This window comes from Homo sapiens, chromosome 17 (genome assembly GCF_000001405.40).
Source record: "Homo sapiens chromosome 17, GRCh38.p14 Primary Assembly".
In the NCBI taxonomy this organism is placed as follows: domain Eukaryota; kingdom Metazoa; phylum Chordata; class Mammalia; order Primates; family Hominidae; genus Homo; species Homo sapiens.
The window spans coordinates 183,283-197,034 of record NC_000017.11 but is presented as its reverse complement, the minus strand read 5'-3'; the positions used below and the strand labels follow the sequence as shown (position 1 = coordinate 197,034).

At 52.1% G+C, this 13,752-nt stretch overlaps 1 long non-coding RNA gene across 1 annotated transcript; it reads left to right on the top strand.

The window, feature by feature from the left end:
• Positions 1 to 9,783: 9,783 nt before the first annotated feature.
• On the top strand, positions 9,784 to 13,211 carry LINC02091 (long intergenic non-protein coding RNA 2091). The gene is made up of 2 exons (NR_104420.1): positions 9,784 to 9,939; positions 12,577 to 13,211. It is a non-coding gene; the product is annotated as a long intergenic non-protein coding RNA 2091 (long non-coding RNA).

Genomic DNA, 13,752 nt, shown 5'->3' with positions numbered 1-13,752 from the left:
TTGCGGTGAGCCAAGATCTCACCACTGCACTCCAGCATGGTGACAGAGCCAGACTCCATTTCAAAAAAAAAATAAAAATAAAAGCTTTTTCTGGCATCTCTCTCTCCCCCTTTCCACCCATCCTCCTCTTTTCTCTCTTTTATTCCTTTACTGTAATGAAAAAAAGGAAAGGCAGCCAAGGAGACCAGAGACCAGCAAAGGGCCAGCGAGCTTGAAGTCACGTAGACGTAGATTCAAACCCCAGCTCTGTTATTCTCTGTCCAGTGATACTGAGCAAGTCACTTAACCCCTCCAAGCCTCGGTTTCTCATTCATACCGTAGGATAAAAACATTTGCCTGACATAGCACGCGACAGTAAGAGTGCATGAATTCACAGTGGGTGGCTAAGTGGCTGACTCTGGGGTCAGACTGGGTTTGCAGCCACCTGTTCTGTGAGTTTCTAATAGGGTGACCGTGGACAGTTTGTTACCCCCTCTGCCTCCGTGTCATCGTCCCTAAGACTGTCACCTTGTGGAGTTGCTATGAGGAGTGAATGTGGTGGCATATTTAATACCTTGCAGCAGTGCTTGGCACATGCAGGAGCTTTATAAGGGGCAGTTATTAAAATGTGTATCAAAGGCACTTAGGAAAAAAAAAGAGAGAAAGCAAAAAAGCATTTAGACTGTTTTCTCTTCAGAGACAAGATCTTGCTCTGTCGCCCAAAGCTGGAGTTCAGCGGCGAGATCCTAGCTCACTACATCCTGGAACTCCTGGGCTCAAGCAATCCTCCCACCTCAGCCTCCCAAGTAGCTGGGACTACAGGTGCAGCCACTGTGTCCAGGTAATTTTTGAAAAAAAATTTTTTGTGTAGAGACAGGATCTCACTATGTTGCCCGGGCTGGTCTGCAACTCCTGGCCTCTTAAAATCCTTTCACCCTGCCTTCCCAAAGTGCTGGGATTACAGGCACGAGCCACCATGCCCAGCCTATTTAGAGTTTTTAGGAGGGATGGAAATGATCTAAACTTGGATTGTGCTGGTGGTTGCACAAGTCTTTAAATTTGCTGGTGGTTGCACAAGTCTTTAAATTTACTAAAAATCATTAAATTGTGCACTTAAAATGGTTGAATTTTATGGTGTATAAATTATGTCTCAATACAGCTGTTTTTTAAAAAGCATTTAGAGTTAGTGAAAAAGCAACTTGCAGAATAATATACACAGTATTGTTGTCATTTGTGAAACGTTTTAAACTATGTAAAACAATACTTCTCTAATATTTGTCGTAAAAATATCAAATGCAGCCTGGAATGACATATGTAAATCTCATCATTATGCTTGCCCCTGGGGTGGGGTTGAGACACAAGAAGGGAATTTTTATCTGTAATGTTTTATTGTATTTATACTTTTTAAAGGCCAGGAAAGCTGGGCAACGATGTCACATAAAGTCATAACATAAAAACGGCAAAGCCAGGCACAATGGCATGGGCCTGTGGTCTTAGCTACTCGGGAGGCTAAGGCAGGAGGATCGTTTGCATCCAGGAGTTCAAGTCCAGCCTGGGCAATATAGCAAGTCGCCATCTCTAAAAAAATAAATAATCATGGGGGCAGGGAGAGGTGCCTAATGAGAGAAACACATGCTGGGGGTGGGGAAGGCTGGCAACTTCCTGTTTCATGACTTGGGTGGTGATTATGCTGATGTCTGCTTTATAACTAATCATTTTAGGCAACTGTGTTTTATGCAGTTTTATATGCTATCGTTCACAATCTTATGAGTTCAAAAATCTCGGGCTGGGAGCGGTGGCTCGCACCTGTAATCCCAGCAATTTCAGAGGCTAACGGGGGAGCATCACTCTAGCCCAGTAAGATCAGCCTGGGCAACATGGCGAAAACCCGTCTCTGCAAAAAAATACAAAAAAATTAGCCGGTTGTAGTGGGATGTGCCTGTAGTCCCAGCTACTGAGGGGGCTGAGGTGGGAGAATCACTTGAGCCCAGGAGGTGGAGGCTGCAGTGAACCGTGATTGTGCCACGGCACTCCAGCCTGGGCGACAGAGCAAGACCCCGACTCTTAAAGAAAAGCAAACTAAACAAAACCCTCCATAAAAAATGAAAAAGTTAGGGTGGATATGTTTTGGGATTTGTTATGTTATTTTCTACAGTCTTGTGTATTAAAATTCAAAATAATTAAAACAAAATTATGGCCTGCCTTGCAGGTTGGGGTGGGGGCTGTTAGGTATTTGGGATAACACACTGAAGTGCCTGGGGAGACGGAGGGAGGCTTGCCCGCCCTCCTCAACTAGGGGAGCCCCGAGGCGTGGCTGTCTCCTTTCCCCGGAGGAGCAGCCTGCCCTCCCAGGCTCCCAGACGCCAGCAGATGCTTGGCACAGGGGCCTCAGACAGCCTCCCTGATTTACGAGGCTCTACACGTTCCCCGCTGATGGATGGCCCTCCGCTCGCCCTCCCTCCTCCCTCTAAACGCTGCTGTCTCCAAGGCCACTGGCCCAGAGTGGGAGCCGCACAGGCAGGGAGGAGCCGGGCTGGCCTCCCTCCTCCTCCCACCCAGCTGCCCTGTCACCCGGTGGTCTCCCCCACGGCTGCCTCCCTTCCACCTCCGTGAATTGAGTGCTTGCCCTGCATGAGCCAGGCACCAGGCTAGGCCTCTGCCTCCAAGGAGGCTTGCAGACCAGAAATGAGCAGGGCCTGAACACAGCTGCTTTCCACGGTTCCCCAGGCCTCCCTAGGAGTTGGCCTCGAGTGAGACCTTCAGTGAGGATGAGCCCCCCCATGGGATGGTTTGGTGGCAGAATATTCCAGGAGGAGGCCCTGGACAGTGGAAAGGCCCCGAGGTAGGTGGGGCTGTGAGCCTGCACAGGTGTGAAAGTGGGGAGGGTAGGACAAAAGCATGAAATGGGCTCTTCCTGAGTACTAAGACCTTTCTACCAAGGCCCTGTGGGAAGGCGTGAGCCACAGTCACCACCGGGGCTGCTGGAAGCCAGGTGCGGTAGGAACAGTCTCCCCGCTGGCCACACAGGGGTGGACTTTGAGCCCTGAGCTAGAACCCCAGAGGGAGCCGGGAGCCCTGGCCCTGCCTCCCAGTTGCTGTATGACCTTGGACAGCTCAGGCCGCCTCTCGGCCTCCGTTTCCACATTCGCAGAGCTGGTGAAAGCTCTGCCGGAACTCCCGCCTCAGAATACTGGGCCCCACCCTGGGCCTGGAGCCTGGGCTCCCTGGGAATGGGTCCTGCGAATCTCCCAGGGGGTCCCAAGGCAATCGAGTTGGACCCCACAGCTCAAGGGCCACAAAGATGGTGATGCCCCATTCAGGTCCTCAAGCAATTCAACCCCGTTGGGGAGACACACTTGGACAATAATCACGAAGCGTGGTGAGGCCCACAAGGGTGGCCATGCCAGGGGACCACTGTGGAAAGCTTGTCGGAGGAGGCAACACCTGAGTGGGGTGTTGAGGGCAGCATAGGAGTGTGCCAGGTGGTCAAGGGTGAATGAGGCTGCCCAGCAGGCTGAGCCATCCGAGCAGGGGCGTGGTGGCTGGAGCTCACCAGTGTGTTTGGGCGCTGGGCTGTGGTGGGAGTGGGGAGATGGGGGGTACTGAATGAGTTACAAGGACCCTTCATCCCTGAGTCTTTGACTCGGAATGCAGACAGCAAAGGGCTCCCCGCACTGACCCATAAGACTGGTGGAGCCCACGGCATCAGTAGCCTCCAGGGGAGTGTGATAGGAGGGTGACCCCATGCCAAGGCCACAGGACAGATGCAATAGGAGCCACCGGGCCTCCACCCTCTGCCCCGTAGGGCCCCTTCACACCAAGAGCTCCAGCCAGGCTCAACCACAAGCAGCTCCCCAAACACCACACTCCTCCCCATGCCCGGCCTCAGCACGTGCTGTTCCCCCTGCCTGGACCCCTTCCTCCTTCCTGCAGCTCTTTGCCTGGCTAACCTTTTCTCAGCCTTGAGGTCTCAGGACTGAGGCCAACGCAGTGCCTCCTGCTCTTGCCTTAGGGCAGAAGAGGGGTCAGGGAGACAGCGGGTGGGGCTGCAGAGGTGGGGGCTGCCGTGTGGTTAACCTGATGCAGACCCCCAGCCCTCTGAGGAAGGCTGGGCATGAGCCTGAAGGCCAGGCCTTGTAGAGAGTCCGGGACCCCTGGGTCATTGTCCTGTGGGTTCAAGGGAACGGAGGACTGGCCCAGCCCTGGCAGGTGCCACCGAGGATGGTAAGCAAAGCTCAGCTCAGCTCGCCCTCCCTCCTCACCCACAAAGAACTATGCTCTGCCACCTGCAGCCTTAACATGTTGGGCAAGCATGCCCCTTCATGGGGGCAGGGGACAGCTAACTGTCGCGGGGGCGGGGGAACGGGTGACTGTCGCGGGGGCGGGGGAACGGGTGACTGTCGCGGGGCGGGGGAACGGGTGACTGTCGCGGGGGGGGGAACGGGTGACTGTCGCGGGGGCGGGGGAACGGGTGACTGTCGCGGGGGCGGGGGAACGGGTGACTGTCGCGGGGGGGAACGGGTGACTGTCGTGGGGGGGGAACGGGTGACTGTCGCGGGGGCGGGGGAACGGGTGACTGTCGCGGGGGCGGGGGAACGGGCGACTGTCGCGGGGGCGGGGGAACGGGCGACTGTCGCGGGGGCGGGGGAACGGGCGACTGTCGCGGGGCCGGGGGAACGGGCGACTGTCGCGGGGGCGGGGGAACGGGTGACTGTCGCGGGGCGGGGGAACGGGTGACTGTCGCGGGGGGGGAACGGGTGACTGTCGCGGGGCCGGGGGAACGGGCGACTGTCGCAGGGCCGGGGGAACGGGCGACTGTCGCGGGGCCGGGGGAACGGGCGACTGTCGCGGGGGCGGGGGAACGGGCGACTGTCGCGGGGGCGGGGGAACGGGTGACTGTCGCGGGGCCGGGGGAACGGGCGACTGTCGCGGGGCCGGGGGAACGGGCGACTGTCGCGGGGGGGGGAACGGGCGACTGTCGCGGGGGCGGGGGAACGGGCGACTGTCGCGGGGCCGGGGGAACGGGCGACTGTCGCGGGGGCGGGGGAACGGGTGACTGTCGCGGGGGCGGGGGAACGGGTGACTGTCGCGGGGCGGGGGAACGGGTGACTGTCGCGGGGGGGGAACGGGTGACTGTCGCGGGGGGGGAACGGGTGACTGTCGCGGGGGCGGGGGAACGGGTGACTGTCGCGGGGCCGGGGGAACGGGTGACTGTCGCGGGGCCGGGGGAACGGGCGACTGTCACGGGGGCGGGGGAACGGGCGACTGTCGCGGGGGGGGGGAACGGGCGACTGTCGCGGGGGCGGGGGAACGGGCGACTGTCGCGGGGGCGGGGGAACGGGCGACTGTCGCGGGGGCGGGGGAACGGGCGACTGTCGCGGGGGCGGGAACGGGCGACTGTCGCGGGGGCGGGGGAACGGGCGACTGTCGCAGGGGCGGGGGAACGGGTGACTGTCGCGGGGGCGGGGGAACGGGTGACTGTCGCGGGGGCGGGGGAACGGGTGACTGTCGCGGGGCCAGGGGTAGGTGACAGTGGTCAAGGGTGTCAATTCTGGAGCCGGTCTGCCAAGCCTCAGGGCCAGCCTCTGCTTCTTTCTAGTTATGAGACCTTGGCCATTTGCTTAACCCTTACTGACGTAACACACCCTATTTTACTGTAATAATTATATGTTTATTTCAATGTGCCATAGAGAGACGTAATCAGCACATCAATTCCCATCATTGATATTATTGTTAGGACAAAGCTAACCTGGGTATTTAAGGGATTTTTAAGTAAGTCTGTTTAAAGAAAAGTACTAAGTAAATAATAGTGCAGGTTCCAGTTGGGAAGCTGATTCATAAGTGATGAAAGTTAAGGTAATGCCAGCTGGGGTTTTCCTTAGACCCAGTGGTCTTCGAACTGTTCCCCAGACCCTGGGAGCCCCAGAAGGTTCCAGGCAGGCAGAGATGCACAGATTAGGGGCTGGGAGAGGGGTCAGGGTTGCTCTCCAGGGGAGCATGAGGAAGCTGCTCATGGACCAAGTGCTCCCCCTCGGTGCAATTTAAATTTGTTTATTGTGAGCTTATTTTTATCTGCTTTTTTTAGTGTGGTAAAATAGATATAACCTAAGATATAATACCATTCCAACCATTTTTCTTTTCTTTTCTTTTCCTTTTTTTTTTTTTTTTTTTTTGAGATGGGGTCTTGCTCTGTCACCCAGGCTGGTATACAATGGTGCAGTAATGGCTCACTGCAGTCTCGATCTCCCTAGTTCAAGGGATCCTCCCCACTCCTCCTGAGTAGCTGGGACTATGGGTGCATGCTACCATACCCCACTCCTTTTTTTTTTTATTTTTTGTAGTGATGGGGTCTCACTGTGATGCCCAGGCTGGTCTCGAATCCCTGGCCTCAAGCAATCCTCCCACTTTGGCCTCCCAAAGTGCTGGGATTACAGGTGTGAGTCACTGTACTTGGTCTTTTCTTTCTTCTTTCTTTCTTTCCTTTCTTTCTTTCCTTCTTTCTTTCTTTCTTTCTTTCCTTCTTTCTTTCTTTCTTTCTTTCTTTCTTTCTTTCTTTCTCTCTTTTCTTTCTTTCTTTTTCTTCTTTCTTCTTTTTCTCTCTTTCTTTCTCTTTCTCTTCTTTCTCTTTCTTTATTTCTTTTCTTTCCTTCCTTCCTTCTTTCTTTCCTTCTTTTTTTTTTGAGACAGGGTCTCACTGTGTTGCCCAGACTGGAGTGCAGTGCTGAGAACATGATTCACTGCAGCCTCAACCTCCTAGGCTCAAGCAATCCTCCCGCCTCAGCCTCCCCAGCAGCTGGGACCACAACCTAGGCTCAAGCAATCCTCCCACCTCAGCCTCCCCAGCAGCTGGGACCACAGGGTGTGCACCACTGCACCCAGCTAATTTTTAAAAAACATTTTGTAGAGACAGAGTCTCACCATCTTTCCCAGGCTGGTCTCAAACTCCTGGGCTCAAGTGATCCTCTTGCCTTGGCATCCCTGAGGGCTGGGATTACAGGTGTGAACCATTGTGCCAGGCCATTTCAACATTTTTTTTTTTTGAGATGAGGTCTCACTTCTGTTGCCCAGGCTGGAGTACAGTGGCGTGATCTTGGCTCACTGCAACCTCCACCTCCCAGGTTCAAGCAATTCTCCTGCCTCAGCCTCCTGAGTAGCTGGGATTATAGGCGACCACCACCACGCCCAGCTAATTTTTGTATTTTTAGTAGAGACGGGGTTTCACCATGTTGGTCAGGCTGGTCGTGAACTCCTGACCTCAGGTGATCTGCCCACCTTGGCTTCCCGAAGCGCTGGGATTCCAGGTGTGAGCCACCGTGCCCAGCCCATTTCAACCGCTTTTAAGTGTACAGTTGAGTGGCATTAAGTACAATCACAATGTTGTACAACCATCACCACTATCCATTTCAGAACTCTCTCATCATCTCAAACAGAAAATGCATCTATCAAATAAAAACCCCCTATTCTCTACCCCAAAACCTCTGGCAACCTCTATTCTACTTTCAGTCTCTACGAATTTGCCTATTCTAGGGCTAATTTTTTCCAACAGGCTAATACACATGCGTGGTAAGAATTCACAGAGCAAAAAAGTTTCCCTGTCCTCTAGTGCTCTTCCCAGATGAACTGTGGTTACCAGTTTCCTGTTCATTCTTTCAGAGGTATTCTGCGCATATACATACAAATATGCATGTGTATACATATCTTTTCATTTATTTACAAAGGGAATATGCTTTTTATGCCTCTTGCTTTGTAACAATAAATCTGGGAGATGAAAAGATATTTAGTACATCAGAATATCAATATCTCTTCCATATCAGCACACTCATCTTTGTTAATGATTGTGCAGTATTCTATTGTACAGGTGAGGCATACTGTATTTAGCCAATCCCTTATTGATGGAAGCTCTTCAATTTTTAATCTGTTGCATTTATCTATTGACAGCACATGCCCACCCTTAGCAGCAGAAATGAAGTAGCACTAGTTAGCAAGGAGAACTAATTAAACATAAAAAAAACCTACCAGACTAGCAAAAATTCAAGTCTGGCAATACCAAGTGTTGACAAGGACAAGGAGGAACTGGCACTGTTAGAGATGGTTGGTGAGAATGGCCGTGGTTCTAACCAGTTTGGGGAGCAGCTAGGCACTCTCTAGTCAAGGTAAAGATATACAGACCCTAGGCCCAGCAAATTTCCTATCCAAGAAACTCTCTTAAAGAAACTCTCCCTGGCCAGGTGTGGTGGCACACGCCTGTAATCCCAGCACTTTGCGAGGCTGAGGTGGGAGGATCACTTGAGCTCAGGAGTTTCAGACTAGCCTGGGCAACCTGGCAAACCCTTTCTCTACAAAAATTATAAAAATTAGCCAGATGTGGTGGTATGTGCCTGCAGTCCCAGCTACTCGGGAGGCTGAGGTGGGAGGATCGCCTGAGCCCAGGGAGGTTGAGGCTGTGGTGAGCCGAGATGGTACGACTGAACTTTAGCCTGGGCAATAGAGTGAGACCCTGTCTCAAAAAAAGAAATCCCATATACAGACCAGGAAACAGGAATAGCCATTGCAGCATGTTGATGATAGCCACGCATAGGAACCAGCTTAAATGATCAACAATAGGAGAAAAGAGAAATAAATTATGGCGTATTCACATAGTGGAACAGTAGACAGCAATAAAAACAAACTATAGCTAGATGCATCTACAGGAAAAAACTTCACAAATAATAATAAGCCAAAAATGAGTTTAATGAGGTTATGTATAGTATGATGCCATTTTTACAAAGTTTTAAAGCTTGCAAAACAATACCATATATTGTTTATAGGTACACACATTTGTAGTAAATGTAAAACTCAGTTCATGTAAGCCTGGGCAACATAGCAAGACCCATCTTTAAAAAATAAAACATAAAAAGATTAACTGGACGTGGTGGTGCATATCTGTGGTTCTGGCTATTGAGGAGGCTGAGATGGGAGGATCACGTGAGCCCAGGAGTTCAAGACTGCAGTGAGCCATGATCACTCCATGGCATTCCAGCCTGGGTGACAAAGCAAGGTCCAGTCTCTAAAAAAAAAAAAAAAAAAAAAAAAAAGGCGGGGGGTGCCAGGTGTGGTGGTTCACACCTGTAATCCCAGCACTTTGGGAGACTGAGGCGGGCAGATCACCTGAGGTCAGGAATTCAAGACCAGCGTGGCCAACATGGTGAAACCCCATCTCTACTAAAAATACAAAGAACTACGCCCGCCAAACATGGTGGCAGTCACCTGTAGTCCCAGCTACTCAGGAGGCTGAGGCAGGAAAATTGCTTGAACCCGGGAGGTGGAGGTGGCAGTGAACCGAGATCGTGCCATTGCACTTCAGCCTGGGCAACAGAGTGAGACTCTCTCAAACACAAAAAGTGGAACACGTTATCATTGAAAGCTACCACTTGCATTGTTAATTCCTTTGAATTGCATCATGAATTCAAAGCGATTGGAGGGAACATTTGTGGCTGTTGGCCCTGGGTTTCCACCAGCCCTGGGCTAGTTAGAGTTTCTACTCATTCTAATTCATGTATAATGCTGAGATGTTCACTTCAGTCATGAAGACCCTGGGCTCTAGTGGTCCCCAGGCCTGTGGGAGGGAGGCTGATCTGTGCTGTGATGTAAGCCTCAGGCTCTGCCCCTCTTTCTCCCAGAGGTCATTTCTAGAGCTTCCCCAGAGGATTCAGCATTATCCCTCTGTGACATCTAATCTCTTGCCTTAGGCAACCTGATCCTGGGCTAAGTCTCTCCTGGCAGGGGAGCCTCTCACCCGGCCTCTTTCCAATCCCACAGCACAGACCTTGGCAGTGTGGAGGGAGAGAGCCTGGTTCTTCTGCCGAGCCCTGGGCAGCCTTCTGGTGTCCCAGGATAGAAGAAAGACTCACATTTCTTTGCACCATTGAGCCCATCACTGCAGCACCAGAGCATCTGACATCTGCAAAACAACATCATTAGGTAGGTGTTAACTTTTCCCCACTGGTAGGCCTGGTGCTCGTAAATGTACTGTGACGAGTGTAATGTGTTTATGAGAATGCGCATAAATTATCAGAAATAGGCTGCATTTTTAATATCACTTAATATATCAAGTTGGCCTCTAAGCAGCCACACGCTATATTGCAAATGTTGAGCTGACTTGCTGGCATCAGTGCTCCATCATGCTCTCCATGCCGAGGCCATAGCGTATGCCAAGAAGGAGGCAAGGGACCCCTAGAGTGGTGGTTCCTACCTCCCTTCCTGACTTCCCCTCCATCATCTGGAATCTAAAGAAAAATGGGCTTCATTTATCACTGAGCCCCCTACAGATCACAGCTCGGGGCCTGTTACAGGGCAGGTGCACAATAAATATTTGTTGAAATGTGGCTTCATGAATAAATGAATGGACAAGAGACCTTGGAATGCCCCTCTCCATCAACCAGCAACATTGTTTGGATTTCCTCCATCCAAGCACCTCTGTTGGGTTAAAATTTTCTGTTAATACAGAGAACGTTCTATTAGCACAGCAGGACAAGATCTCCTCCGGTTATCAGGGAAGGGTGGAAACGGGGGACACATATTAGGCCTGGGTCAGAGAGGGCCCTTCTTCTCCGGGCACATGGACACCAGCCAAGATGCCAACCAAGGAACATCCAGCCAAGTGCTGCACAGAGGGCATTTCCTCAACAACACACGTTACCTACGCTAAGAAGAGCCATTAACTGGTCCTTCTCTGCCGAGACCAGCTTGGTCGGGGAGACCCTAACCCAGCGGCGCTAGAGGAATTAAAGACACACACACAGAAATATAGAGGTGTGGAGTGGGAAATCAGGGGTCTCACAGCCTTCAGAGCTGAGAGCCCGGAACAGAGATTTACCCACGTATTTACTAACAGCAAGCCAGTCATTGGCATTGTTTCTATAGATGTTAAATCAACTAAAAGTATCCCTTATGGGAAACGAAGGGACGGGCTGAATTAAAGGAATAGGTTGGGCTGGTTAACTGCAGCAGGAGCATGTTCTTAAGGCACAGATCACTCACGGTATTGTTTGTGGCTTAAGAACGCCTTTAAGGGGTTTTCCGTCCTGGGCGGGCCGGGTGTTCCTTGCCCTCATTCCGGTAAACCCACAACCTTCCAGCGGAGGCGTTAGGGCCATTATGAACATGTCACAGTGCTGCAGAGGTTTTGTTTATGGCCAGTTTTGGGGCCAGTTTATGGCTAGATTTTGGGGGGCCTGCTCCCAACACTTCTCCACCGGGAAAGAGGTCAGAATACCCAAACAGGAGGAGATCAGACTCCCCACTGTGGCTTTGCCAAACCTCTCTGGAAATTCCAACACCTGCCTTGGGTTAGTCACTCACTTCCCCAGTGAAGAATCATTAAATATTGAGAGATGTCACTGATGGGCATATGTTACACATGTGAACAGTATAGAGGCAGCCCAGCAGGTTGAAAATCACCGTTAAACCATTAGCACCCTCTAACCCAGCGAGTCTCAACCTTCACTGTGCACCAGAATCATCAGGGGCGCTTGTTAAGATGCATCCTGAGTGTGCACACACATATTCTGAGTCAGTGGGTGTGAGATGGGGGCCTGGAATCTGCATTATTGATAGACATCCTGGGCTGGGTGTGGCAACTCACGCTTGTAATCTCAGCATTTTGAGAGGCCAGGGCAGGAAAATCATTTAAAGCCAGGAGTTTGAGACTAGCCAGGGTAACATGGCAAGACCCCGTCTCTACAAAAATTTTAAAAATTAGCTGGGGATGGTGGTGCATGCATTTGGTCCCAGATACTTGAGAGGCTGAGTTGGGAAGATCACTTGAGCCTCGGGAGGTCGAGGTTGCAGTGAGCCATGATCACACCACTGCACTCCAGCCTCAGTGACAAAGTAAATAGACATGCTAGTGCTACAGATACCTGGACCATTTTTTAAAGAACCCACTGTATCTCACTTGACAGGAGGAGCCTTTGAGAGGGTCTGTGGGGAGTTGGGAGAAAGCTCAGAAGCTTGTTGGGAAAAGCAGAAGGCAGAGAGGCAAGGGCACAGGGCTTCTGAGGACTGTGACCAAGGGCAGACTCCATCCACTTAACTTTGCCAGAGGCTGGTCCAGCTGCCCAGCTGCCCACCTCAGCATGGGGAATGGAAGGCAACATGATTGATGAGCCTTTGGACATATCCAACTGCTTAGAGATGCCCACACATGCCAGCCAGCGCCCAGCCTTGGCAAGTGCATCCATTTCTCACCTGGTCCTGGCAGCAGACAGGGAGCAGCCAACCACATGTCACTGGTAGAGAAATCAAGGCAGGCACTGGGAGCGCAATGACAGTTTGCATCAGGAAGGTTTGCACCAGGACGATTTGCACCAGGAAGTTTTGCACTGGGACGGTTTGCACCAGGAAGGTTTGCACCACGACGATTTGCACCAGGAAGGTTTGCACCACGACGGTTTGCACCAGGAAGATTTGCAATGGGACGGTTTGCACCAGGAAGGCAGGGGCAACAGAATCACAATTCCCTGAGTGCCAGTTGCACACTGGGCACTGTGCTAAGCACTGTATACCCATCCTCACCTTTAACTCACACAACGTTGTTCTTATTCTCCCCCATTGCAGATGAGACCCAGGGCCTAAGTTAAACAACTTGCCCAAAGTCCGGTACGCTTAGGAGGAGGCACACCTGACTTTTGACTCTACGTCTGCCTACTCCCTGACCTATGCTCTTTCTAGAAAGTGGACACTTGCCCAGATAACACCACTTCTATCCACTTCTATCCCTCGGGGAGGCCCTACCCCATTTCAGCTGGGCTCAGAGCTGGGCAAATTCAGACCTAGAGTGGATTTCAACTCTGCCACCTGCCAAAGGGTAGACCCCAACATGCCATGTGTTTCTCCAGTGGGCATCCTTGGGTTCCCTGGCTCCATGCTTAGGAGGCTGGGCCCTCCACCTGACTTCTTCAAAGCCCTCCCCAAGAGCCAGCTCCTGCAGAGCCAAGAGCCATGAGCCGATCCTCCAAAAACCAGACCCATAGGACAAGAGGCCAGGAGAGAGCGGCCAGCTCTCGGTGAACACAGGTACAGGGCCTTGGCAGGCTCAGCAGTCAGGACGTCCAGGTCTCATCTCCAGTCTGCCTCTTGCTAGTCACTTGACCTCCCGCAGCCTCAGTTTCCCCATCTGTAAGATGATGACGACACCCTCCAGCTCCTTAGTAAAGGAATGATAAAATGACAGTTCAGCGTCTGTATTTTAATACCTGCGTCATTATGTAATCATTTTGTGATGCAGCCACCTCTGGCACAGAAAAAGTCACCCTGTGCCTATTTAAGGATTAATCCCCTTAAGCATTCCTGGAAATGAGAACCCCTCTGTGCCAGGCTGCCCTTCCAGGCTCTTCTGTCCTTTCCTTGGCCTTTGGCTCTTGGAAGGCTGAATATTTCTCCCACCAGGACCTCAGACTATCTTTAGGGAACCCCGGCTGGTTCATTCCCACTGTAACCCCTGAGGCTCTTGGCCTCCTCCCGTCCTCCTCTTCCTCCTCCTTTTTTTCCCTCCTTCCCCTCCTCCTCAGTTTGGGCTTCCCCTGTCCAAGAAGCCTCAGGATGAGCTTTGGGAACGAGGTTTTACCTGTGTTTCCAACTCTGCTCTGAGCCCCTGAGCTCTGTAGTGGAGGGGAGGAAAGGGAGAAGGGAGGGAAAGTGGAAGCATCGAACAGTCAGGACACTGGGCTCTCATCGCAGCTCTGCCGCCAGCCAGCAGTCACCCTGGACACATCCTTGTGCCTGAGCGCTAAT